We start from the raw sequence: 27,035 nt of genomic DNA on the forward strand, positions 1-27,035 counted from the left end.
GGCTTTGACTTTGGTGAGAGACAAATGTATGGAAGCGTATTACTATATTAAACCTAGTCTTCCCATCCAATCATTAACAATGAATATTTTTAGCATCTAAAAATGTGCATTTCAGGCAGATATGTAAATATTTAGCACTATACTTTTGAGACAACCTTTCATTTTCAATCATGCAGAGGTAGGTGTTTTCACTAATAGTCTAATTATATCTCATATTTTCATTCTACACAATATTTTGCTTCTATATTTGAAATAACCGAATTCATCTGTGCTAATAAATGTTCTAAATGGATATCTTAATAATTGAAATTAGCACATACTATACCCCTCAAAACAATTTACAAAACAAGAACTATTGTTTACATTACACAACAAGGCAAAACCAGCCATGATAGTAGCTTGGCTCCAGGTCACATATCAGGTGAAATTCCTCATGCAGCTCCAACTGATCCAGCTGTATTTGATCAGAGCCACTTTCTGACCTCTCGTCTCAAGAGTAAGTCCAAGCCTTGGTGTTCACGGCCTCAACTTGTCTTTACCCCCTTATGTCACTGTTCCCCATCCTCTGTGTTGCTCTGTCTGGGACACCTACCCTAGAGACCTACACAGCTAACTCCCTCCCCACATTTGCTCAGATGTCACCATTTCAAGGCAGTTTCCCTGACCGTTCTTTTTAAAGTCGCTGCCCACCTCCCACAGGCCCAGCTCTCCTGGCTCTTCACATCCGCCCCACTTTCCCCGATAGCACTAATCACCTCCTCACATTCTGTACATGACTTCTGATTGTTTGTCTTCCATATTCTCCACTAGAATGTAAGCACCACAAGGGCAGGAGTCTGTTCACTCAAGTGCTCAGGGCTCCTAGAACAGTGCCTGCCATTTAGCAGGCACTCAGATGACTATGAACTCAAGATCGACTTGTTTGCCAGGCACTGTTCTAGGCACTGGGGTTACAGCAGTCACCAGAACAAACAGGGTCCCTCCTTCACAGGGATTTGGGCCAAATAACAAAACAAAACACAACATAATACACCCATAAGAGAACAGCGGAACAGAGCGCTACAGAGATCTTAAAAAGGTGTATGATACAAAGTGACTGGGGAAGCTACTTTAGATTGGGTAGTCAGGGAAGGTCCCTCTGAGGAGGTGTCATTTCAGCTAAAAACTACAATAAGGAGAAAGTATTTAAATCTTCCACATGCTTCTCTGATTTTCCATCTTGCTGGTCTGCTGTGAACTCCTGAGGTGAGTCACAGTCCCTGTTTCTCCTGGCGCTTCCTGACATTTATACATTTATGCTGGTATTTTGAGCCTGGGACTGACCTGTTATGGCCTCACTGTGGACTTACATTCTGTCCTTATAAAGCTTCTCTTTGCAGCCATTTATACCATATGCCTTGAGCTCAACCTTATCTAGTATTTCTATTACAAGTCCAGTTTTCTTTTAGTTAGAAATACAGGATCTGTCTTTGTCTAACAGCTGTTTTATGTTGTACATAGCAGGGTTTAATTTTGGGGACAATCTGAGTCTTTTTCCTGTAGTAGATATTTATCTCATTGGTATTTATTGATATTGCAGGTGTGTGGCCTAATTTGGTGGTCTTATGAGACTGTTTTGTTTTATCTTCTTTTATGTCTTATTTCATGTGTCCTGCTCTGGATGCTTGCTTTGGTTCTTTGCCTTTTGCTTTGCGGACTCTAAGTCTTTACTGTTTTCTTCAAGACTCTGGCATCCCCTTTCTTTTTAGTGCTTTTTAAGAATTTTCTTTCAAATTTTACATAATACACTAAAACCTCTATTTCTTAATGTTTAGATATATCTCCTGCTCCCAAATAAGATGAGAAAATTTGTCATCCCAATCTCCTCATTCTATGTGCTTTGTGAATATTTTTGCATTCCCATGTTTTATAACACAGTCAAGTGTCGCATAACAGTGTTTTGGTGAGACCGCATATATGACAGTGGTCCCATAAGATTATAATGAAGCTGGAAAATTCCTATCACATAGTAGCCATGGTAAAGTCACAGCACAACACATTACTCATGTGTTTGTGTTTAAGCTGGTGTCAACAAACCTACTGCACTGCCTGTCACATAGAAGCACAGCCTATACAATTATGTATAGTACAGAGTGCTTGATAATGATAATAAATGACTGTTACTGGTTTATGAATTTACTGTACTATAATTTTAATTGTTTTTTTTTTTTAGCATATACTACTTCTACTTATTAAAAACAGTTGACTGTAAAACATCCTCAGGCAGGTCCTTCAGGAGGGATCCAGAAGAAGGCATTGTTATCATAGGAGATGACAGCTCTGTGTGTTACTGCCTTTGAAGACCTTCCACTGGGACAAAATGTGAAGGTGGAAGACTCTGATACAGATGATCCTGACCCTGTGTAGGCCTAGGCTAATGTGTGCATTTGTGTCTTTGGTTTTAGCAAAAAAGTTTAAAAAGTAAGAAAAAAATAAATAAAATAAAACAAAAATAAAAAATAGAAAAAAGCTTTACAGAATAAGAATATAAAGAAAATCCTTTTGTACAGTTGTACAATGTATTTGTTTTAAGGTAAACGTCATAACAAAAGAATCAAAAAGTTAACAAAATGTAAAAGTTTATAAAGTGAAAAAGTAAGGCTAATTTATTACGGAAGAAAAAATGTTCTTACAGATTTAGTGTAGCTTGAGTGTACAGTGTCTGTAAAGTCTACAGCAGTGTATAGTAATGCCCTACACCTTCACATTCACTCACCATGGCTCACTGACTCACCCAGAGCAACCTGTAGTCCTGCAAGCTCCATGCATGGTGAAGTTCCTGTCCGGGTGTACCATTTTTTATCTTTCTTTTTGGTTTGTTTGTTATAGAGGCAGGGTCTTGCTATGTCGCCCAGGCTGGTTTTGAATTCCTGGCCTCAGGTAATCTTCCCACCTCAGCCTCCCAAGTACTGGGATTACAGGCATGAGCCACTGCACACAGCTCCATTTTTTTTTACCTTTCATACAGTATTTTTACTATACATTTACTATGCTTAGGTATGTTTAGATACATAAATACTTACCATTGTCTTACACTGCCTTTAGTACTCACTATGGTACCATGCTGTAGAGGTTTGTAGCCTAGGAGTAACAGGCTACACCTTATAGCCTAGGTGTGCCGTGGGTTCTACCATTTAGGTTTTTGTAAATATATGTTTGCACAATGATGGAAGAGCCTAATGATGCATGACTGTATTTACCTTCTGAAATATTATTCCTGACAATTACTTGGCCTTGGCTGTTTATTTAAACAGACCACTCACTTCACCATTTCTCATCAGAATGTAAGCTAATGAATCGTTACATCCCCAGTGTCTCAAACAGGGTTTGGCACGTAACAGGCAGTCAATAAATATTTGCTGAATGAATGAACTGACTTCGTTGATCCCTTGACTCACTGCATTTTGTCACTGAGTAGTTTTTTAAAGAAAGACTCATGGGCCTTTCCTTGAGTTCATGGATTTTTTTTTTTTTTTTTTTTTTTTTTTTTTTAGAATACTACTATCTTTCTACATAACTTGGTTCAGTATAAAATTATTGGGTCAAACTTTCCCCCAAATTTTGCACTGCTCCACTGCCTCCTGGTATTAAATGACAGCTGTGGAACTGTAATCTTCTGTGATAACTTCCCTTGCTGCACGTTCTCAAAGAGGTTAAGTCCCTTCCTGTGACTGACTAATGCTGGTGCATCTTTTACTAGTTTTAACTTCTTTTTTGTTTCTTTTACTAAGTGTATGAACAGGAAGATTTCAGAATCTGGGGTAACTCTGCCATCTAACATAAAGCCTCCAGAGTATCTGTAGATGTGGAGATGAGAAGGGTCAGAAGTCTCATGCGATGTGGTGTGTCCCTAAAGTAGCAAAGCGGAGTCATTTACTCAATGCGGGGAGGGGGAGCGGTGGGAATGTGGACAAGCAGGATCTTGAGCTCTTTCCAAAGCTGCATAAAACTGAGAGAAACTTCATTCTAAATAGAGTCTGTCTTAAAGAAATCACTACCTCCCACTAAATAATCACACCTGGCAATGCAAGAGATCAAACGGTTATTCAAATGATATTAAGTCAGTCTTTAAGGTATTTCAAAGGCATTCTTATTTTCTTGCAAATTTCCTCAATTTTCTGTCTCCTCTTGCTTTCTATTTACATTATCTTAGCTGTCAGGAGGACAATATTTTGACGCAATAACAGGCAATTAAAATGCTATGGGCAGTCATGAAGAATTATGCGTGAAACTGGTCCTCTCCCTGCTGGAATGGGTACAAGAAAACCTCATTAATTCTACTGGGGCAGTGGGGAAAGCAGTCAAGTAGGAATCAGGACACTGGGGATGGCCCCCGGTTCCTCTCTTAGTTGGGGCGGCTGGCCCTCCCTGGGCCTCAGAGTCTCCAGTTCCACAAAGAGAGTGTGCTCCAAGGTCCAATGCAGCAAAAACTGTCTGAAAAAGCCACAGTCTGTGTCCATTAAGACAAGGACTGGTTTAGGCGATTTTTAGGTTTACAGTTTTTAAAAATGTGAGCTACAAAAATCATTTCCGTAAATACAACAGTCAATAAGTAAAATCATGGTATTAAAAACCTAAAATTGTGAGCTCTTTTGCCTTTTTCAAAATTTCCTATAGCATAGTGGCTACTCAATCTTTTTAATTTCAGAAAACAACATGATATTGAGAAATAGTTTTTGTTAGCTACTTAGCCATGCTTGTCTACAAAGGAATAGTTATTAATGTATCAGTGGTACCTATTCATTAAAGGAGCCATTTATTCTGGCTCTTGCCATTTGAAAAAATAAAAAAAAAGAAGCCATTTATAGCTGACCCTTGAACAACGAGGGTTTGAACCGCATGAGTCCACTTATACTCAGATTTTCTTCTGCCTCTGCTACCCCACAGGCAGCAAGACCAACCCCTCCTTGCTCCTCAACATGAAGACAATGCGGATGAAGGCTTTTATGAGGATCCATTTCCACTGAATGAATAGTAGATGTATTTCCACTTCCTTATGATTTTCTTAGTAACATTTTATTTTCTCTGGCTTACTTTATTGTAAGAACACAGTAATATAATACATATAACATACAAAATATGTGTTAATCAACTACTTTGCTTTTTTTTGCGGGGGGATTGGGGGAGAGACCAGGGTCTTCTTACATTGCCCAGGCTGGTCTCTAACTCCTGGGCTCAACCTTCCCCCTTTGGCCTCCCAAGGAACTGGGATAACAGGCATGCACCACTGTGCCCAGCTAATTGACTGTTTTTGTTATCAGAAAAGCTTCTGGTCAACAGTAGAACAGTAGACTATTAGCAGTTAAATTTGTGGGAAGTTAAAAGTTACATGTGGATTTTTGGCTGCGCCGAGGGTGAACAACCCCTGCATTGTTCAAAGATCAACTGTACTTTACAAACCTAGTTCTTTTTTTAATTTTACTTTAACCAAGTGCAGAACATGTAGGTTTGTTCCATAGGTACACGACTGCCATGGTGGCTTGCTGCACCTACCAACCTGTCATCTAGGCAAACCTAGTTCTGAAGGAGGATCTTCAGAAGTGTGGAGAGAGAAATGGTGCTAGATTTTAAAATATTCATTATCTCACTTAAACTCTGTAACTACTATAAGGTATAAATATTATTATCCCTATTTGTAGATGAAGAAACTAAGGATTATAGCATTATATAAGTGGCTGGTGAATGCTAGAAAAGAACGCTTTTATTTATAACACTTTGAAAGGATCCCACTATTCAGGATTCCTCTTAGAAAACAAGCTAGGAAACAGGTCTGGTTCTAATATTTTGCCTAGAACTTCCCTTTCAGGACCACAGCAGGAGCCTAGGATTTCTCCTAACCTTTTATTCCATGAAAACGTGTCTTGAGAGGCTTCGGCAATAGGTTCTGTGGCTGCTGGACAGGGTCTGATTACCCCCTTTGTAGGTAAGCTATGTATTTTTTAATTGTGGTAAAATATCTGTAACATAATATTTACCATCCTAACCATTTTTAAAAATTGTTTAAAAAACACATAAAACAGTTACCATCTTCACCATTTTTAAACATGCAGTTCACTGGTATTAAGTAGATTCACACTGTTGTGAAACCAGTTGTATTATTTTTAATTTAACTCTATTATGGAAATGTTCGAACATACCCAAGAGTAGAGAGAACCATACAATAAACTTTTGTGAGCCAGCTCCAGCAATTATCCATGTTGCCATCCTGTTTCATGTATCCCTCCCCTCCACATAAACATACTTAAAAAAAAAAAAAGGAACAATGCAAATCCTGGCATCACTATCAATTCGCCTATAACCTACAGCTATGATATAGCTGTACTCAAACACCTGCCGTTAGGAAGCAATGTATCTACCTGGCAAGTCACTGGGCCAGCAGAGCCTTGCTCAAAATACCTTGCTACTGACTATGTACTAGTTAAAATCTAACTTCAGCTTGCAACCAAGGCATTCCAAATTCAGCCACTACCCTCCTATACTGCAGCTTACACACCACCTGGGCTGTTCACTATGGTTCCCCCGCACACAGAACCTGCCCCACTTTAGATCCTTCCCAGACGGTGCTTCCCTGGCCCACCCCCACCACTGCTTCCCCACAGCTTCTCTGTTTGCTGAAAGTCTTTGCTTCCTTCAAAGTCCAGCTCCAGTCTTGTCTGCGAAGGGTCAGGGCCCTTAACAATGCTTTTTCTTCCCATGATTGAGCCCAAAGATACCATGTAATAAATACCTGAGGCTCATCTCCATCAATTTAGTGATGCTCCGAGGAGTCAACCCCTCTGGAACATTCCTTCATCCTCTGTTTTACCTATGAGCCTCTACCTGAATTGTCTCTCTCTGACCAACTCTGAGGTCCTTGTCCTGGGGTCCTGAAATTGCACACACTATTTACATGTTCACAAAAACTATCACTGCCATGAGGGCAGGGATTTGTTTTGTTGTGCAGGCCCAGATCCCTAGTGCCTGGAGGAGTACTCAGAACACTCATTCTGCAGTCATCCCAGAGTGTTTATGGAGCATCCTCAAATAAAACGTTCAGAACCACTGATCCAGTCCTTTTGGACCTGTGGGTTGCTTGCACACCCCACCTGGCCAATGATTTCAGTGTCACCCCAGGAGGATGTGGTCTCTCAGTTCACCCTTGACTCCATGCTCCACATCCTGAAAACCAGTCTTGTCCCAGGAACGTGGGTTCTGACCAGATCTAGGATTCCCATTAGTGCAGCAGCTGTGGCTGAACTGCACCTCCTGGAGGACTGCGGCTCGCAATAATCCCATGGCCCACCTCTATGCAAATCACCAGGAACAGTATTCTCTCCTCATAGTCAAGGGCACATAACACTATGCACTAATCAGATATGCAACGGGAAATCCATAACACTTGTAGTCAATTCATTAATCAATGTAACTGGCATTACAGGGGTAGGGTACGATGAGAAATCTGCGGGGTTCTTGCTGAAAGACAGGACTAGCTATGCTAAAGAGTGGAGCATAGCAAGTCCTGTCTTTTAAAACATAACTGAGAGCACTAAAACAAGAGCCTGTTTTCCCTTCCAAGACAACCTTGACGGTTTCTCATAGCTGCTACTTGTACCCAAATATCTTTGAGGCAGCCATACAAAACAACAGACACTTGCTATGTTAAAGTACAGCTGCGTTTCAAAAAATGCAAGTGCCATCAGGGACCTAAATGCACCTGTGAGAGAGAAATACTCTCAGATACAACTGCTCAGAACTTAATTTTAAAGCAGAGTTATTATTTCTATATTCTCTAACCAAGCCAGGAATTCCTTAGAAAATAGATAGGAACATTCTAATTTCATTAGTTGCTGTAGAAATTCAAAGCCTCTATTTTTCATCCCACTATTAGAAGCAAGAAAAATACCTTTAGCAATTATCCCTGCCCACACCCTACAAAGATGTGAACCAAACTCAATCACTGTAACAGGCAAATCTTTACTGAGCTCTGTAAATGATCTGTCCTCTCATAAAGCTGTGATATTTTTAATCTAATTTCCTGTTTTAAGGCACCACACTTAACATACATAAATAAACAATTTTCAAAATTAAAATACTATGAAACTCAACACAAAATATATAGCATGAAATTTAATTTTTCTTCGAAGGTTTAGGAAGGAACTAATAGTTTTCAGTGTCTTGGAGATATCAATCATTTATTTATTTGTTTGTTTATTTATTTATTTTAGACGGAGTCTCGCTCTGTTGCCCAGGCTGGAGTGCAGTGGCGCAATCTCCGCTCACTGCAACCTCCACCTCCCAGGTTCAAGCGATTCTCCTGCCTCAGCCTCCCGAGTAGCTGGGATTACAGGCGAGCGCCACCATGCCCGGCTAAGTTTTTGTATCTTTAGTAGAGATGGGGTTTTACCACGTTAGCCAGGATGGTCTCGATCTCCTGACCTCGTGATCTGCCTGCCTCAGCCTCCCAAAGTGCTGGGATTAGAGACGTGAGCCACCGCGCTCAGCCACATGAATTATTAATAACCAAGACATTTACCCAAAATGAACTTTGTGTAAGTTCACCTGGTGACATCTGTTAGGACATTTTATTATCCTTCATTGCCCAATTCCCATATTATTTGTTAAGAAAACAATGTCCTTCCACGTGTAAGAAATATGAGAGTGTGTGTACACAGTGGAAAATATCAATGTTGATTATAGGTGACATAATTTTATCTCAGTTTGAACCAATGAGAAAAAAAGGAAAGGAAAGCCTTGTTATCATTTCTTTCACCATTAACAGAATCTTTGAGATGTGAACATGGAAAACATCTCAATTCAAACGGGGATAAAAATCTACAAAATTCCCATCTGTCGATACTGCACCTCTTTTGGTACCTTCATTCATTCATTCGTTGAGATGGGAGTCTCACTCTGTTGCCCAGGCTGGATGGAGTGCAGTGGCGTGATCACAGCTCACTGCAACCTCGACCTCCTGGGCTCAAAGGATCCTCCCTCCTCAGGCTCCCGAGTAGCTGGGACTATAGGCACGTGCCACCACACCCTGCTATTTTTTAAAAAAATTTTTGTAGAGATGGGGATCTAACTACATTGACCCAGCTACTTTTGAACTCCTGGCCTCAAGCAATCCTCCCGCCTTGGCCTCTCAAAGAGCTGGGTTACAGGTATGAGCCACTGCACCTGGCCCAGTACCTACTTTTAAAGAGGAATGCACATATTCATACAAAAGATAACTCTTCAGAGCCCATCTGCCCCATAAGCCTTCCTCCTTGCCCCTTGCTGGAATCCCTGAGAAACTCACCACCCACAATATTCAGCTGGGACATACTACTGCCACTCTAAACAACAATAATTATAATACACAAGCAGCTAGCACTTACTGAGTGATCGCTGTATCACAAACACGGTACTCTCATTCCATTATTATCCCCATTTGACAAATGAGAAGACTAATGGTGAGAGGGGTTGAATAAGATGCCCAAAGGCACACATATGGGGCATGGGTGACCCGGGGTGCAAGCCCAAGAAATCTCACTCCAGAACCTGTTTGTTTAGCCTATGCATCTTTATTTTCATATGCAGGATGTTCCAAATCCCCAGCTTGACTGTAAATTCCTGAGAACAAGGGCTCTCTGTATTTCTAGAGTCTACCACCGTGCCTTACCTAAATCTGCTGGATAAATAACACCATAGTTTAACATCAGTTGTTATTCATGTTTTTTTTTTTTTAAAAAATTCAAGTTTTTCCTTACAGACCCTTATTTACCATGTTGAAAGGCTGTACCAAAAAGAATACTAGGGGAAGGGGGAGAAATGAATACAGGTATTCTTGATCTTAGCCATACAGCAACAGTATCACAGCTGAGGACGAAAGAGGGTGGGAGACACAGAGACGCCTGCTCAGCTCCCCCTCAGGAATGCTACCCAGCTGTGGGAGGACAGTCAACACGTGGGCTCCAGCTGTCAGCTCACGCAGAGTCAGCGTCAGCTGCAGAGAGCCACTTCTTAGAGTTAACACTGATTCTCAGAGACCTGAGGCTTCAGGATGCCCCCGTTCCGAGTGGGGGCACATGGGGAGCAGGTAATAAATGGAGCCCTGGCCAAGGTCTAGTTTACAGTGGATCCATCCACTGGGTCCACAGACCCATCTCATCATGACTAACTGAGACCAACATACAGCAGGTCCTCAAATAATGTTTTGTTCAACACATTTCATTAACATCGATGACAGGAAAAAAAATCCATTCCCAGCTGGGGCCACTGTCTGTGTGGGGTCTGCAGGCTCTCCCCATGTCTGTGTGGGTCTTCTCCGTACACTCTGATTTCCTCCTACATCCCAAAGACATGCACGTTAGGTGAACTGGTATGTCTAAATTGTCCCAGTCTGAGCGGGTGTGTGTGAGTGTGCCCTGTGATGGGATGGCGTCCTGTCCAGGGTTGGTTTCTGCCTGGCACCCTAAGCTGCTGGGATAGCTGCCAGCCACCCAAGGCCCTGAAATGGAACAAGCAGGTAAATAATTATCTTGTTTCTATTAATCTTTCTTAAATGTATGTATAGCTCACATTTACTTCAATGTTTAATATCAGAAGTGTTTTGGTCTTAATTTAGAAGTTTGGTGATGTTTTGCTGTAGGAACTTAACTCTTGTTATTTCAATTAGCCTAGGGTAAAATTAGCCTTGTTATACATTGTTTTGCTTCAAGTCGCAATTCCCAGGAACCTATCGATGATGCTAAATGAGAACTTATTGTATTTGACAATTTCTACAACCACATTAGGTCCTTGGTCTATGGGGTAAGATCTACCAGAGTAGGGAAGGCCGAATGGAAGTCTCTGATACACCCTGCTTCTGCACTGCCTCCCCCACCCCCAATACTGCATTAAAAACCAATATTGCATCCCAGGGCAATGGCAGAGATTAGTGCCACCTGGAAGGATCTAAAGGACGCAGGGGGCAGTGGTCCCACTTTACGTCTGTTTCATTTACCAGCCTGCCCCCTGCAGAAACCAGATGAATCCTGGAGGACTGCAGACCTCTGCGAGCTCAATCAGGCAGGGAGCCCTGATTGCCACCATGGTATCAGATGTGGCATCTTTGCTAGAGCAGAACAATATGGCCTCAGGTCATACAAAGCCATCACTGATTTAGTGAATGCCTTTTTTTCTATCCCAGTCAAAAACAAGACTCAGGAACAGTTCATATTTCCATGAAATAGACAATATACACTTAGAGTTCTGACTTAGGGCAAGTTCTCTTGCCCTTTGTTATAATATATAACACCCATCACAGTAGTCCCAGTGGCCCTCCCCAGCTCATGCCTGTGGTTGCCTGGGGGAATCCTACACGAGCATACGGAGGAAGGGGGAAGTGTCCAAGCTTGGTTTACAGACAGGTCACTCTGGCATGTGGGTAAAAGCCAAAAATCCATGGCAGCTGCATTACAAACTCACTCGGGGTGACAGAAAAGACAGCTGTGAGGGAAAAGCCTCCCAAGAAGTAGGGCTTCAAGCAGTGCCCTTTATATGGGAAAAGCAGCAGCTCAAGGCTAGACTACAGGAAGACTCATGGGCAGCAGTGAGTGGTCTGCTCAGATTGTCAAGGTCCTAGAAGGAAAAAGATTGGAAAGTCAGGACAAGAAAGTATGAGGTATGGACATGTACATGGGCATATGGGGAGGGGACACGAAGGGTGGAAAAGCTTTGTGTCACATGTCATCACCCACCATGGAAAAGGCATTAAACAACCAAGCAGAAAAGTGACCCAACCAGTTGACATCAGCCATCCCATTGTTAGCATGATAGACCCATGAATAAAGTGGCCACAGTGACAGAAACGGACCCAACAGCATGGACTTGCACTTATTAAAGCTGATCTAGTTGCTAATGCCAAAAAATAACCCATCTACCAATGACAGAGACCATCATCAAGTTCCCAAAATGGCACTATTCCTCAAGGAGCACAACCATCAACGTGGTGCAAGTTAATGGACTCCTTCTATCTTGGAAGGCCAGATATTTGTCCAACAGAAATAGACACGCCTTCCAACTAAGGGTTTGCCCTTCTGACTCACAGGGCCTGAGTCAGCACCACCATCCAAGGGCTTAGTGACAATCTTTGAACCAACAGCACTGGATCCCACATAATATTATATCAAATCAAGGAAACCCCTTTCTGTAGTAGGCCCATGATCATGGAATTCATTGATCACATCACATACTACCACCCAGCAGATGTGGTCTAGCCTGCTGAAGGCACAGCTGAAGCACCAGCTTGGAGACACTACTCAGCAAAGATGGGGTATGGGGTACCATCCTCCAGGATGCAGTATATGCACTGAATCAAAGACCTTTTTATGGTGCTCTCCCCTAATAGGAAGAATACTTGGGTCTGGGAGTCAAGGGGAGGAAGCAGGAGTGTCCTCTACACTCCATAATTCCTGATATCCCATGGTAGACTTCAAGCATCCCCCTTCCAGAACTCTGGGCTTTGCAGAGTTAGAGATCCTGGTCTGCAAAGCCCAAGTCTGGATCCCCATACTTTTGCCTGGGAATAGCAGGGATCTCACTGCATTATAAGCTATGGCTGCCACCTGGGCACTTTGGGCTCCTGGTCTAGGGACCAGTAGTCAAAAAGAAGAGTCACCATCTTGCCAAATTGGTTCTGCTCGTAAGAAGCAGGGGCTGCTGTTACACAATGGAAGCAGAGACAAATATTGTGGAGCCTGGGTACCCCTGGATACTCCCTTGCTCGATTTTGACCGTGAATGAAGACATAGCAACTCTGGCCTGAGAAAGGCACAGTGATGAGGGGCTCAGACCTGCCAGGGATGAAGTGCTGGGTCTTGCCACTATGGGAGCCACTGGAGCCGGCAGAGGTCACAGCTAAGGGTGAGCCAAATCTGGAATGGATGTCAAAGGAGAGAGAGAACGAGACTAACTGCAGAGGTGGAGGCTATAGTTGATCTTGATCCCACGAAGCTTCTAAGCTCTCCCTCAGGAAGGGAGGCCCCACTGGACTCCTGGAGGGGCAGCTCCTCAAATGTACGTAGTAGAATTGTAGAAGTAGAACTGAGCAACACAGGATAGCTGAGAAGACAGGGAGACGCAGTGATACATAAGTGTCTGGCAGTGAAGAACACAGCACAGTTGGCCCTTGAACAACATGAGTTTGAACCACACAGGTCCACTTAAATATTGAGATTTTCTTCCACCTCTGCCACTCCTGAGACAGCAAGACCAACCTCCTCCTCCTTACTCTACTCAACATGAAGACCATGAGGATGAAGACCTTTATGAGGATCCACTTCCACTTAATGAACAGTAAATATTTTTTCACTTCCTTATGATTTTCTTAATGACATATTCTTTTCTCTAGATATTTTATTGTAAGAATACAGTATGTAATGCATACAACCTACAAAATATGTGTTAATCAACTATGCCATTGGTAAGGCTATTAGTAGTTAAGCTTTTGGGGAGTCAAAAGTCACGCACATTTTTGACTATGGTGGGGGATGGGTACCCCTAACGCTGTGTTAAGGGTCAACTGTAGTTTAACAGTGGGTATTCATTGTAAAAAATAAAATTAAAATTAAAAGCCAAGTTTTTCTCCTCTGTAAGCCCTTATCTTATCATGTTGAAAGGTTGTACAAATCTGCCGCTTCCGGAGAATAAAGAATTAACTTCCAGCATGCTGGAGCTTAGCCATCTAGTAATAGTATCACAGCTGATGAAGATCAGGGTAGACAAGGAGATGCAATGGCAGATCCTCTTCCAGGAAGAACCTGCTGTCTGGCTACAGGACAGCGATCGACATACAGCCTCCAGCTATCGGCATGTTCAGGGTCAGCCTCTGCTGCAGACAGCTATCTCACCGAGGTCACAGCCTTCCTGGAGCCACCTGCATATGGTGACTGAGTGAGGCAGGGGTACAAAGGCCCAGACTTTTGGCCAACACAGGACAAGGCAGGTAACCCTGCTGCAGAGATCCCCTGGGTTGACCGAGGCGTTGCCAGCCCTGCACTGTAGGCTGCCATCTCCCCCAGCAGTCCTGCTTCCTCCCACTTTCTTTCACAGGGGGTGATCCCTAATAAATATATTGCAGCCCAATTCCAACTCAACCTCTGCTTCCTGAGAACCTAATCCTCTGCCTTGTACTACAGCTGAGACATACAGATTCCGGGTTCTCTGTGCCCAGGTTTGAATTCCAGTCCCAGCACTTCCTAGCTGGGGGCCTCCAGACAAGGTGGGAGCTTCGGTGTTGGCCTCTGTAAAGCTGAGGCAAGTAACGGTACCTCTCAAAGGACAGCGTTCAAACTACATGAGTGCTCTATGCGGTGGCTTTCATTATTAACCAGTCCGATGGTGTTCCTTCCCTCACTGCAGACTGCTTTGGTTGGTGATCTCTCATCTAATTTCTTTGAACTCTGAGTCTATAAATCTGGGCTCATTTGTAGAACAGAAATATCTGTTCCCACTGGCTGATAAAGTCTTGCTGCTCTGCCAAAAAGCACTGCTAACAGGGCAGAGTTCCAGGGCCACAGAGCACCAAAGCAGAAAGCTCTAATTCTTAGTACACGAGTGCTGAAACCATCCCCTCCATTTGCAAAGAACCAGAAGGAATGGGCGAGGTTCACACGCAAGTCTCAGAAACAAAAAGGGAAGGAGCGCACTTGGGGAGAGCTACGAACAGCAAAACAGGGTAGTGATTCTATAATACCACTCAAAAGCATCATCTTAAAAAAAAAAAAGACACATTTTTAATATCCTTTTTTTTTTTCCTTCCTCCTCCATTGGTCACTTCCTATCCTCCAAGAAGGGAAGACAGTGGTAGATGATCAGTGGGAGCATTATAGGAGCGGGAAACCAAGAAGTTCCAGGCCTGGATCTGTTACTGAAAAGTCTCAGAACTCACTGGAGAAAAATGCTTCACTTATCTGCATCCTTATTTCCTTCACTATGAAATGAGGGTAGAAAGGAGATGCCTTCTGGCTCTTCCAGGTCTGGGTTTTCATGACGCTCTAAATACTACCCAACGATGTCAGAGGTTCCTTAGGGGTGACGGAAATTCCATCTACCGTCTAAATGCCTACTCAATAAACTGCACTGAATTAATTGGTCATAGGAGACCTTTAAATTCTAAGTGCTCCTTTGTTTAAAATTAAAAAGTGTAAAAAGTATTAATAAGGAAAAAGAATGGTGGGGTGAGGTCTGTACAAACCAATCCTAGCCCCACATTTGATGTGTAAAGTCAGGTCCTGTACAAGCCACACTTGGGAGGCACGTCCATGTTAACTGACAGGAAGAAGGAGGGAAAAGGAAATTGGTGGCTTTGATTTACTTAATGTATTTACTTAATTTCAATTGTTTTATTTTTTCCACAGTGCCCAAGTCCACCAAAAAAAAAAAAATCTAAATCTATTTTGTTACCTGTCAAATAGGGAAAGGACAGCTTTCTAGAGCTACTGTGCCTGGGATTCATGCTAGTTTAAGGAGCTGATAAAACATGAAACAAAAATTTAAGACTGTGAGAGACTTCTAAGGAAACCTTTGGAACACTGTGATGCCCCAAGGTTTCTTCTCCGGGGACATTAAGTACCCAGCAAATCGAACTCCCTGTGTGGGGACCTGAAGCTGCAAAGAAAGAGTTCCATTCCTTTAAAAGACATACCTGGGAATATCTTTGCCGGAGCCCCAAAACATAGCAGGGTAAGAGAGAGTTGGAAGGTGAGGAGAAGTTTCAGCTCAACCATCCATAATGAAGTCTATCTATGGGCCGGGTCCACGAAAAAGTTCCCAAAGCCGGTCCTGTCCTATCATGATGTGTCCATCAATGTCAGAGACTAGGTCTTTTGTAAGTTTCATGTGAGACCCAAGTCTGGAAAAGTCTCTTGGTGTGGTTACCGAAGGGTTAAAGACAAGGTTTCTAAGGGACAAAGATGAACAGGACAATGGGGGTCACCCTGGCATTGACCCCAGAAGAAAGGCCTTCTTCTGGATCCAAAAGGCCTCTTTGCTGGTCCCCAAGGTACATTGCAAGCTCCTTAAGGGAAGGTTATTCATCACTGAATACCAGCACCAAACACTGTAGATATTAGATTTTATTTACTGAATTGCAAAAATGAATAAAAAGCATAGTGCCAATAAAATAACAATTACAGATAAAGAAGAGCAAGAATCTAGACTTCAGTGCTTCAAAGATAAGTTTTTCTACCAAAAGAAAATAAAAAATCAGGACAAACTAATTAAAAGCCTGTCACCAGCACCAACTCCAGCCCCACAGCTATCACATCTGTACAGGAAAGGAGGTGACAAGGTTAAGAAACACCATGAAATACTTAAGCAAAACTTGGAGTGTTTGGACTTGTTGGTGTTCCAGCCCACAACTACTGTTTCCTCTGAACTCCTCACAGCAACTAGTGGAATGATGAGCAGACAGTGGGTGTCCAAAGGACGCTCACCAATCAATCAGTACAAAATCAATCTAAGACAGGCTCTACATTAAGGCATTTTCAAAGCCATGAAAGGAAATTCTGAAAACCTGTATTTCTCAAAAGTAAAATCACTTTTGATCAAAAGTAAAATCACTTTTGATCAAAAGTAAAATCACTTTTGATCAAAAGTAAAATCACTTTTGAGAAATACAGGTTTTCAGAATTTCCCTTCATGGAAAAAAAGCCTTAGCCTTTTTCTGCACTTCACCAAAGATATACGGATGGCAAATAAGCACATGAGAACATGCTCACCACCATTACTCATTACGGAAATTCATGTTAAACCACAATGAGATACCACTGCATACCAGTCAGAATGTCTAAACATTAAAAAGATGGACAATGTCAAGTGCTGGTGGAAGCACAGCAACTGGAACTCTCATACCCTGCTGGTGGGAAGGTAAAAACGACACAACCTTTTGAAAAACAACTTGGCAATATCTTTAAAAAAGTTAAACACACACCTACCATATGACCTAGCTATTGTACTCCTCAATATTTACCCAAGAGAAATGAAAGCACATGTCCATACAAAGACTTGTACATGTATGTTCATACTGGCTTTATTAATAGCCAAAACAACCCAGTTGTCCATCAACAGATAAATGGATAAACAAACTGCAGTATATCCAATTGGTGGAATACTATACAGCAATAATAAGAAATAACCTATTGATACATGCAACAATATGGATGAATCTCAAAATGACTATGCTGAGTAGAAAAGTCAGATTTTAAAAAAAAATTTTTTTTTTTTTTTTAGAGATGGGGTCTCACTATGTTGTCCAGGCTTGTCTTGAACTCCTGGGCTCAAGTGCTCCTTCTGCCTCTGCCTCCCAAATTGCTTAGCTTACAGGCGTGAGCTACCACGCCTAGTCAAAAGCCAGATAAACAAACAAACAAACCAGTATATGCTAGGCCATCTTTACAAAAAACTTAAAAATTAGTCAGGTGTGGTGACACACACTTGTAGTCTCAGCTACTTGGGAGGCTGAGGCAGGAGGATCACTTGAGCCCAGGAATTTGCAGCTGCGGTGAGCTATGATCACACCACTGCACTCCAGCCTGGGCGACAAAGCAACATCCTGCCTCAAAGAGAAAAAAAGAAAAAAAAAGTATATGCTGTATAGTTCCTCTAATATGACTTCTAGAAAATGCAAACTATAGTGACAAAAAGCAGATCACTGGTTGCTTGGGGTGAGGGTGAAAGGAATGATAAAAGGGCATGAGAAAACCTTCAGGGTAAGAAATATGTTCATTGTCTTGATTATGTTTGAGTAAGGTGATAGTTTCAGAGGTATATACATGTGTCACAATTTATATACTTTAAACAGGTATAATTGATTATATTTTTGTAGCCTCAAATAAACCTGAAAAAATACAGCTATAAAGGAAAAAACAATACACATCAGATCACAATAAATTAAACTGTATACTTCTGATTTACATAAATGACAATGCATTATGCTTAGTCATAGATACCAATTTAACTAGAGGGATCAAACCACTATTATAAAATGAAATAATATATTCAAAAGAAAAAAAACAAAAAAATCACCAGCCTATCCTTTTCTGTGGATCTGAGCATAATAAGCTAAAAGAGGTCAGGAAAATGATTGGCATTGATGATACCAGATACATTCCAGAGCTGATGAGGCAGCAACAAAGTTAGGATCCACCTTCTTCTAAGTTCTAAATTCCAGCAGGTTCCCATCTGTGGCCTTGAGCAAGTCAGCTCTGCCAACATTCCCCCCACAATGCTCATTTCCCTTACGGTATAGATGCTCTGACAACTCTTGGCCCAGAGCCTCCATCGCTGGAGCAATCCTCGTACCCCTTCTGGAGCAGTGGTTCTGAGTCTCAGCTGCATGCAGGAATCATCCTGGGAGCTGCTTAAAAATATGGATGACTGGGCCTCTTCCCTGAAACAACTCCCCGTAAGATTCTAATGTGTAGCTAGGGCTGGGAGTCACTGTTGTTCCAAAGTCCCCCTTACCTGCAGAGCAAAGCTGTGGCCCTGCATCAGCTGGCTAGTCCCTTTAATTGGCAGCCCATTATAGTCTACTACTACTATTCAGCTGTCAGATGTCCCTAAAGTGAGGACTGGCCCTGACCACTCCTCCTAAGGGCCAGCAGGCCCTGAGCTCAGAGCGTAACTGAGGTTTAGAAACACCTTTAGTACCCATCCCCCTCACCACTGCCTCCAAACACAAAGAATGTCCAGTTCTTTCCACACTAACCAAAATTAGAGATTTAATGTCTCCGCAAGCTAGAAATAAGTATAATCTGCACTGAAAACAGGTTTTTCATGTTATTATTAAGAATTCCTGTGTATCTATTTTAAACGAGTACTCTCAGAGTGACTGGTACAACTAGGATAAAATCTGTTCTGCCCTAAAAGACTCAAGCTAGGAGACAAACCCACTTCCCATGCATGCCTATTCTCATGTTACTGAGGTCACTGTACCTGTGAGAGCTGGTGCAATCTTCAACACAGGTGAAAGAGAAACTGGCTTACTGCTTCTTGATGACTTATAACCCTAACCAGGGACTTGCTTTCTGGGCCGAAATCTATATGGCACAGAGACAGAAAGAAAAAAGCATCAAGAAACCATCAAAATTGGCTGGGCACAGTGGCTCTCGCCTATAATCCCAGCCCTTTGGGAGGCTGAGGCAAGCGGATCACTTGAGGTCAGGAGTTCAAGAGCAGCCCAACCAACATGGTGAAACCCCGTCTCTACTAAAAATAACAAAAAAATTGTCCTGGTGCGGTGGTGCACGCCTGTAATCCCAGCTACTCCAGAGGGTGACACAGCAGAACCGTTTGAACCTGAGAGGTGGAGGTTGCAGTGAGCCAAGATCACGCCACTGCACCCCAGCCTGGGGTACAGAGTGAGTGAGACTCTGTCTCAAAAAAAAAAGAAAAAAGAAAAAGAAAAGAAACCATTAAAATTACTTTCCATTCCAAGAAAGAACAGAAAGATCTGAAACAAAAGAGTTTCACTTACAACCAGCATTAGTTGGGGGACAGCATGGTGTGAAGTATTAACAATCCTGAAGCTCTTTGTTATGCAAAGAGAGATTTAAAAAAAAAAATGGATCCAGCTTCTATGTGATGAGCTGTACTACACAACCACCCATTTCTTTTCTTCCTTTGCCCAATAATGGCCAGTGATGTAATAACCACACCAGACAGCTGTCTTCCTGGATAAAATCACCTTGTAAAGGAGAAATGCAATTAGAGGATGCAATGAAATATAATTTTCAGACTGCTTCTGCAGGCTGCCACATTCAACTTAGTGCTTAATGGCCAGGTTCTTTATTACAGTTTTCTATTTTATGCAATTTCTCTTTGACTCAGTATCTACGGAAGACACTGGGTTTTAAATTTTAGTCTATGTCACGATGGGTCTGAGACAAACCCAGGTCAGGTTAGCTGAGAGTGAGGCCAGGATCAGAACCAGACACTAAGGGCCACAAGGGGCACGTGACAGTTGGGCCTGAAGGGTTGGCTAGAGCAAGGCTAGACGGGGAGGCAGGGATAGGTGGGATGGGGTGGCAGGGCTCTGTCACCAACTCCTCTGCCTGCTCTTCTGGTCTCCCTCCACAATTGCTGGCACAACATATCCACTCTGAGACTTCTACCCTCCCTGTGCTCATGAACAGTATCCCGCTCTCATCATGCAGTTTTAACCAATTAGCAACTATTTCTCCATACTCCTCTTTCACACCCCACCACCCAGTACTTTTGGGAAGGGGGGATTGGAGTATTTTAAAGTGAATCTGGTTCATCAAATCATTTCACCCAAGGTTTAAGGGTACCTCAAACTTGACATGCTTCAAATGAAACCCATTAATTTTCTGTTTAAATGCAGTAGTACTTTCTGCACCTTTAGATTCCCGGTGTGGTCAAACATACATCTGGCCTGTGGAAAGTACATAAAGGCTTTCAGAGTGAACATACACACACACACATACACAGAAATTCTCTCCTCACTCTGTCTCTCTCTTCTCTCTCTCCCCCACCAGGACTTCCTCCTAGCTTTCTGCCACAGGCCAGTGCTTCTAAAGATGAGGGAACCGAGGAAACCCCCCGGGACGCAGCAGGGGAGCGAATCAGTTCTCCTGTCCGCCTAAAGTGTTCCGTCCCTGACAGGCTACAGATTTCAGTCTGTGGCTTATTGAACTGAGTACGGTTCTCTCAAGGGGAGAAAAGTAACTTTTACAACATATATGCTAATGAAGCATAACGACAGAGAGCATTTAAAACAAAATGTCCCTATATTTATTCTCCATAGACAGATTTTTGCATTAATATTTATGAGGGATTCCTCGTTTATTTCTCCCAGAGATTTTTCTCTTGCCCAAAGAGAGGGGATAAAAGATAAGTAACATGAACCAATTATCTTTTAAACAGTTACAAAGGACTATCTTATTTATCTGCATTCTGCTACTTGATTAATCTTCCTAATATACCACTTTCCACATATCAGCCCCTGCTCACAAGCCCCGGGGGCCTGCTCTCCCTGTAGCAGCGCACTGCAAGACCTCTGCCTGGCTCTGGGGCCCTGCTCGCTGCCAGTACCTCTAGATCCAACCCTATCCATCCTCACTCTGCAGGAAGGGTTGCCACTGCCACTGGGGACAGACCTGCAGCTACAGAGCCCTACCCATAGGCATTTCTGTCTGTCCAAATTCCACCTGGTTCCCGGCCATTCAAATACCCAACACTTACACTTCCAATCCACTAAGAGCCACGGGCAGTAGGAACGCACGTCCAGAACATGCTGTGAAAGGATGTTTTGAGCCTCATCAGCCAGGTGAGCAGCACACAGAGGAACGAGCCTTCAGGACTCATTCATTCAACCAACAGTGCACAGTCAAGACTAGGCCGTAAAAGAGACACAGGCAGCGCCAGTCCTCAAGGAGTTGAAGTCTCACAACATGGGGCACAAAGTGGCAACTGCCCTGGAAGAGACAAAACTGAAACCTTATAGGAGTAAGAAGCTGAAGGTTTCTTTCTGCCCAATCACTGAATCACATTTTTCCTTCCCTCATCAAAGACAGACTGAGAGAGACACTTTCCTCTTCTACCTGCCAATAACAGGAGTACATAAAATAAATACATAAAAACGGACATTTCAGCAACTATTACTGGGTGTGACTTCTCTGACGCCTCAGATGAGAAACTCTAAAGAGCAATGAGGACAAGGCGACACTGGAGATGGCACACATAAGGAAGATGATCCCATACCCTTGGCCTCAAAATGCCTTCTGAGTCTACTTCAAGGCAAATGGAACAAAAAAGCAGAAGGAGAAAGAAACAGTGCTTGGGCCGTTAAATGTTTACAATCCAACCAGGCAAGGCCTTTCTCTGTTCCTGTGTGAGTCTGAGAGTGTACGCTGGCTTCAAGGAGCTCTGAATGCCAGGTATTTGACCACGAAGGGTTTCTTTCTGTCACCGTGTCAAGGTGGCCTGGTAATGTCTATAGTGCTCCTGACCGTTCATGAGCCACAATTATAAAACTTTGGCAGGTATCCTAGTTCCTACCAATCTTTTAACTTTTGCAAAAAAACTGGCCGAAATTGGGATCTTAAATCTTGAAATTCATTGTATCCCTCTCTTTTGGCAACTGAATAATTTTCCATCTAAGATCCCAATACGGGTAACCCTTGCTGTCTAAAACATTCCTATTCACACTCGGGACATGGAATTGATACGGATAAATATCTGGGATAAGAGTGGTATCCCTCACCATTCCTGGAGACAGCTCCGGTCTTGCAGGAAAAAGGCAAAAGCAGCTGTCTCAGTCAGACAGCTTAAACATGACTGATATTAATAAACGAGCTTAGGTAGTGTCAGTTATTGGAAACTGATCTCCTCCTTATTAATATGGTCCCGCAATGGAGAGAAAAGATTTCTCCATGTTCTAGAATGCAAACAATGTTTTAATCTTTAATTATATTCTCAATTTCAACTCTTCTAGAGAGTTATCGCCACCTAGGCCTAGGATTATTTCTTTATTACATAGCCTCTCTGTGGTATTTCATGAATACTGTTACTTAATACTTGCCAGTAGGGGAAAGAATGACTTAGCAAATTTCTACCCAAGTTTTGATGACTTTTTCCAAAACGCAGGAAACTTACAGCTGCAAAGTTCTCTGTTTCCTTTGTGGGACATTAAGCCGGGCGACATCTCTGCCCACCAGCCCAAGCTCAGGGTGAGCCAGCCTGCTCCCTTTGTACAGTGTCCCTGGAAAAGGAGACTGAGGAAACGCTCTGCATTTCCAAGGCTTGTGGCAATGAACCAGTTTGTATCACATTCATGGTTTATTCACTGTTACTTTGCTCAGAGGCAAACTAAATTCAACTCCAATAAAAAGAGATGCCAGATATTCTTGTTCAAGGTTCCTGTCCCTTCAAAGTTGAAGAATTTAACATAAATGAATCAGCATATAACCAAATTCTGCCCTCAACAAAATACCAAGAGTCCAGGAACAAAACAAACCCCAGGTAATCAAGAAGAAAATCAAGTCCCTGCAAGGACACATGCTCACAGTCACTATGTAAATGGTGTCTATAGCCAGGTTTTTGTAATCGAACTGCAGAAACCTGGAGTTTTATACCTGTATGGCAGAGGAAAAAAAAAAACAACAACCTTAAAAAAGGTCTCAAAATGAGCAACAGAAGAGATAATGATATAATGGCCAGGAAGCTACGAGAAGAGACTTGTTTAATGAGCTTCATCCTGGCAAGTGTTTGCCTTGCTCAGTTTAAACAGCAATGACGATCACCCCCCCTTCATGCATCACTATTGCCAAAGACGGATTCAAGTTGCTGCTTTGCTCTCTGTGATTCCCACTGGTTTTACATCAAGCAAAAAACAACATGAGCCTCTGACTTTCAAGAACAGAAACAGCATCTACCACACATCTTGGAAAGGATCCAATCATCTGGATAAGCACCATGTGTAATTTCAAGTCAATGATCTTCTTGGGAATTAATGTGCAAGGCGGTGGCAGAAAATGAGCCTCTTTCAGTTAAACTCCCAGAGCCAAATCAGTGGCCGTACCAAAGGCAATCTGTTGTTCAAACACTGGAAGCCCTAGGTGTGAGTGCTGTGTCATTATCCCTGTTACCTCCTGAATGGGTGGCACTTCCTTCCAGCAACACTTGTCACTGCATGCTGTTTTTGTGGTCTTATTGTTACTCAAACCTGAGAGGCAAGTCATCCAAGAATCGAAACGCAAAGTGAGGACTCTCTCTCTCTTGAAAGTATTACAAGATACTGAAACAAATGCAAACGCTGAGGAAATGGCACCAGTAAGCTCCAAAGAACATCGAAAAAATACTATTCAGCAATAAAATGGAACCAACCGCTGATACATGCAACATAAAGGAATCTCAAAAACATGTTGAGTAGAAGAAATCAGAAGGAAAATATTATGTTCTGCATGACTCCACTTATACAGAAGTTCCAGAAGAGGCAAAGCTAAGGTATAAGTATAGATATCAGAACAGTAGTTGCCTGGGGTGGGAGAGAAATTGGAGACAAGTATAATCCACCCTTTGGAGGAGTTTTGCTATAAAGAGGAGAGACACGAGGTGGGAGCTGGGAGGCAGAATGCAGTCATGGATGTGTGTTCTTACAGGAGACAGTTTTCAGGGTAAGCATGTTTTGTCTATGAATGAGAATGATCAGGAGAAAAGGGAAATAATTATGGTGTAGGACGGAAAAAGGAGACCAATGGAGACAAGGCCAGGAGTAGGTGAGAGGGATCCATCAGCAAGTAGATGGGCTGTTCTTAGCTTGGAGCACGAATAGCTCACCCCCAGGGACCACAGAGAACAAAGCCCGGGAAACAAGTATGCCCTTAATCAAGCAGACAGAATCTTTTCATGGAAGATAATATAATGCAAGAGAAACTGCCTGTCCCCACAACTTCCAGGGCATGGAGGTAATAGTTTTCAATGTAAGCTTTCTGAAAAACTATTTGTTTTCCCTCAAACCTAAATAAGATCTCGGTTTGCTGGATATGAACACAGTCACCTCTGCTGTTACTGAAAGCTGGCATTTCATCAGGCCAAGTTGTTGAAACTCAGAGGAGTGCTAGGCCATTCAGCCTGGCCATACTGATTGAAAGCAATATTCCATGTTAACACAAAAGCACACAACACTGCATTAGAAAATCGAGGCTGCTATCTAAGATAGAACACAGGTAAACACAGCTACATCTCTCAATAAATACATAGATATCTCAATATATAACTCATAGATCAATTAAATAAGATATAGCCACTCTCCAGGCTGATCCCAATCCTATGAGGCTCAGAAGCCCAACAATGTTTGCACAGCAACAGTGGACACAGCCTCTCAGCCTCTTTACGGAAACGATAGCACCCCTTGTGCAAAAACCTTAATTTGAGCATTTGGAAATCCTAGAAGTGAGGTCACTTCATCAGTGCCCTCTGAACGCTAACAAGTGATAAAATATCTTTCATCATGAACAAGATCTTTATCTTCTATCAAGCTTCTTTGGAGGGGGAGAAAGATATGAATCATTAATCCCATGAATCACTCATCCTATGGGAGCTCAGGGAGGAATCTGAGTCTTCAGAGACTACCGTTAGAGCCCTGCATTTTAAAAACAAACACATCGTACACAGCTCCTGCATTCCTGCCACGCCTGTGCTCTCTGCACAGTTGGGCAGAACTAGTAGTTTTGCTGTAGCAGCCTTAGTGCCATCCAACTGCTAACACAAGCCACGCAGAAACCTACCCATCACTGCACTAATACGCACAGGGTTGCAGAGAAAGGTGTGTGAGGAACCCAGACGCTAGCCCTTCACTGCTTTCCTCCACCGTTTAAAAACAAAACCTTTCCTTAGAATCCTGTAAGCCTATGCAAGAAAGCATCTAGCATTCTCAATGAAATAAGGCCCCCATCCTTCACAGCCAGCAGCAGATAAATCTGGTGAAGGGCGGCTGGGCTTCCCCAAGTGGACCTCCCTCCCCACTCTGCCCGTGGCCTTCTCAGGCACTGGAAGAAGGTCATGTCAGTCAACTTGGTCCATGTTGCTATGATGCTCTGCTCCTTGTTTGCTCCTATCTCTACTCAGAACTTCCCAAAAACCAAGATTATATCTTATTCATCTCCGAATCCCCAGCACAGTGCATAGAACCAAGCATTTGTAGGCCCTGAGTAAATATTTACTGAATAAATAAGTGAATGGGGTTTACAGGCTCAGCCATTGTTCCTGTGTGCGATGTGATGGTTTTAAAATAAATATGTCCACAAATTCTTTGACACGTCTTTCTTCAAAAGGGAGAGCCTCATCCCCTCCCCTTGCATGCCAGTCAAACTTCGTGACTCATTGCAAATGAACAGAATGGGGTAGAACTGACGCTGTGTGTCTTCTGAGATTAGGTCATAAAAAGGATGGCTGCTGCCTGGCTCTCATTCTCCTAGATTGCTGGCTCTGGAGGAGCCAGAAGCCATGTCATGAGGATATTCAAGCAGCCTGCGGAGAGGCCTAGGTGGAGAGGAACCGAGATCTCCTGCCAACGGCCAGCACCAACTTGCCTGCCATGTGAGTGAGCCACCTTGCAAGTGGAGCTCCTAATCCCAGCCAAACCTCAGGTGACTGCAGCCTTACAAGAGGCTCTGAGCCAGAACCACCCAAACGAGCCACTCCTGGATTCCTAATCCACAGAAACTGTGAGAGATAATGTTCATGGCTGTTAAAGCACTAAGTTTTAGAGCAATCTGTTATGAAGCAATAGATAATTAACATAGCAACCTTGGAGGATTTCGGTGTTTTATAAGGGGGTTGAAAGGATTTTCTTAATGACAAAAAGTTAGTTTATAGTTATGTTGTGCTTATAATAAAAATTTTGTTGATGGGGTTGTTTTTTCTTGTAAATTTGTTTGAGTTCTTTGTAGATTCTGGATATTAGCCCTTTGTCAGATGAGTAGATTGCAAAAATTTTCTCCCATTCTGTAGGTTGCCTGTTCACTCTGATGGTAGTTTCTTTTGCTGTGCAGAAGCTCTTTAGTTTAATTAGATCCCATTTGTCAATTTTGGCTTTGTTGCCATTGCTTCTGGTGTTTTAGACATGAAGTCCTTGCCCATGCCTATGTCCTGAATGGTATTGCCTAGGTTTTCTTCTAGGGTTTTTATGGTTTTAGGTCTAACATTTAAGTGGGTGAAGGATATGAACAGACACTTCTCAAAAGAAGACATTTACGCAGCCAACAGACACATGAAAAAATGCTCATCATCACTGGCCATCAGAGAAATGCAAATCAAAACCACAATGACATACCATCTCACACCAGTTAGAATGGCAATCATTAAAAAGTCAGGAAACAACAGGTGCTGGAGAGGATGTGGAGAAATAGGAACACTTTTACACTGTTGGTGGGACTGTAAACTAGTTCAACCATTGTGGAAGACAGCGTGGTGATTCCTCAGGGATCTAGAACTAGAAATACCATTTGACCCAGCCATCCCATTGCTGGGTA

At 42.6% G+C, this 27,035-nt stretch overlaps 1 protein-coding gene across 5 annotated transcripts in view, besides 2 other annotated features; it reads right to left on the reverse strand.

Annotated features, from left to right (window-relative positions):
- The window catches only part of MED27 (mediator complex subunit 27), a 219,756-nt gene that overhangs the window by 123,388 nt on the left and 69,333 nt on the right, over positions 1-27,035 (reverse strand). The window lies entirely within an intron of this gene.
- Positions 23,365-24,057: an enhancer, noted in NCBI's record as "OCT4-NANOG hESC enhancer chr9:134882251-134882943 (GRCh37/hg19 assembly coordinates)". NCBI's record gives its function as "activates a minimal SCP1, AML or CMV promoter by ChIP-STARR-seq in naive H9 embryonic stem cells {active_cell/tissue: H9 hESC(naive)}" and the evidence as "EXISTENCE:reporter gene assay evidence [ECO:0000049][PMID:30033119]".
- Positions 23,853-23,962: an enhancer, noted in NCBI's record as "active region_29215". NCBI's record gives its function as "activates an Ori minimal core promoter by ATAC-STARR-seq in GM12878 lymphoblastoid cells {active_cell/tissue: GM12878}" and the evidence as "EXISTENCE:reporter gene assay evidence [ECO:0000049][PMID:35858748]".

The sequence above is a fragment of the Homo sapiens genome, chromosome 9, assembly GCF_000001405.40.
Source record: "Homo sapiens chromosome 9, GRCh38.p14 Primary Assembly".
Lineage (NCBI taxonomy): Eukaryota > Metazoa > Chordata > Mammalia > Primates > Hominidae > Homo > Homo sapiens.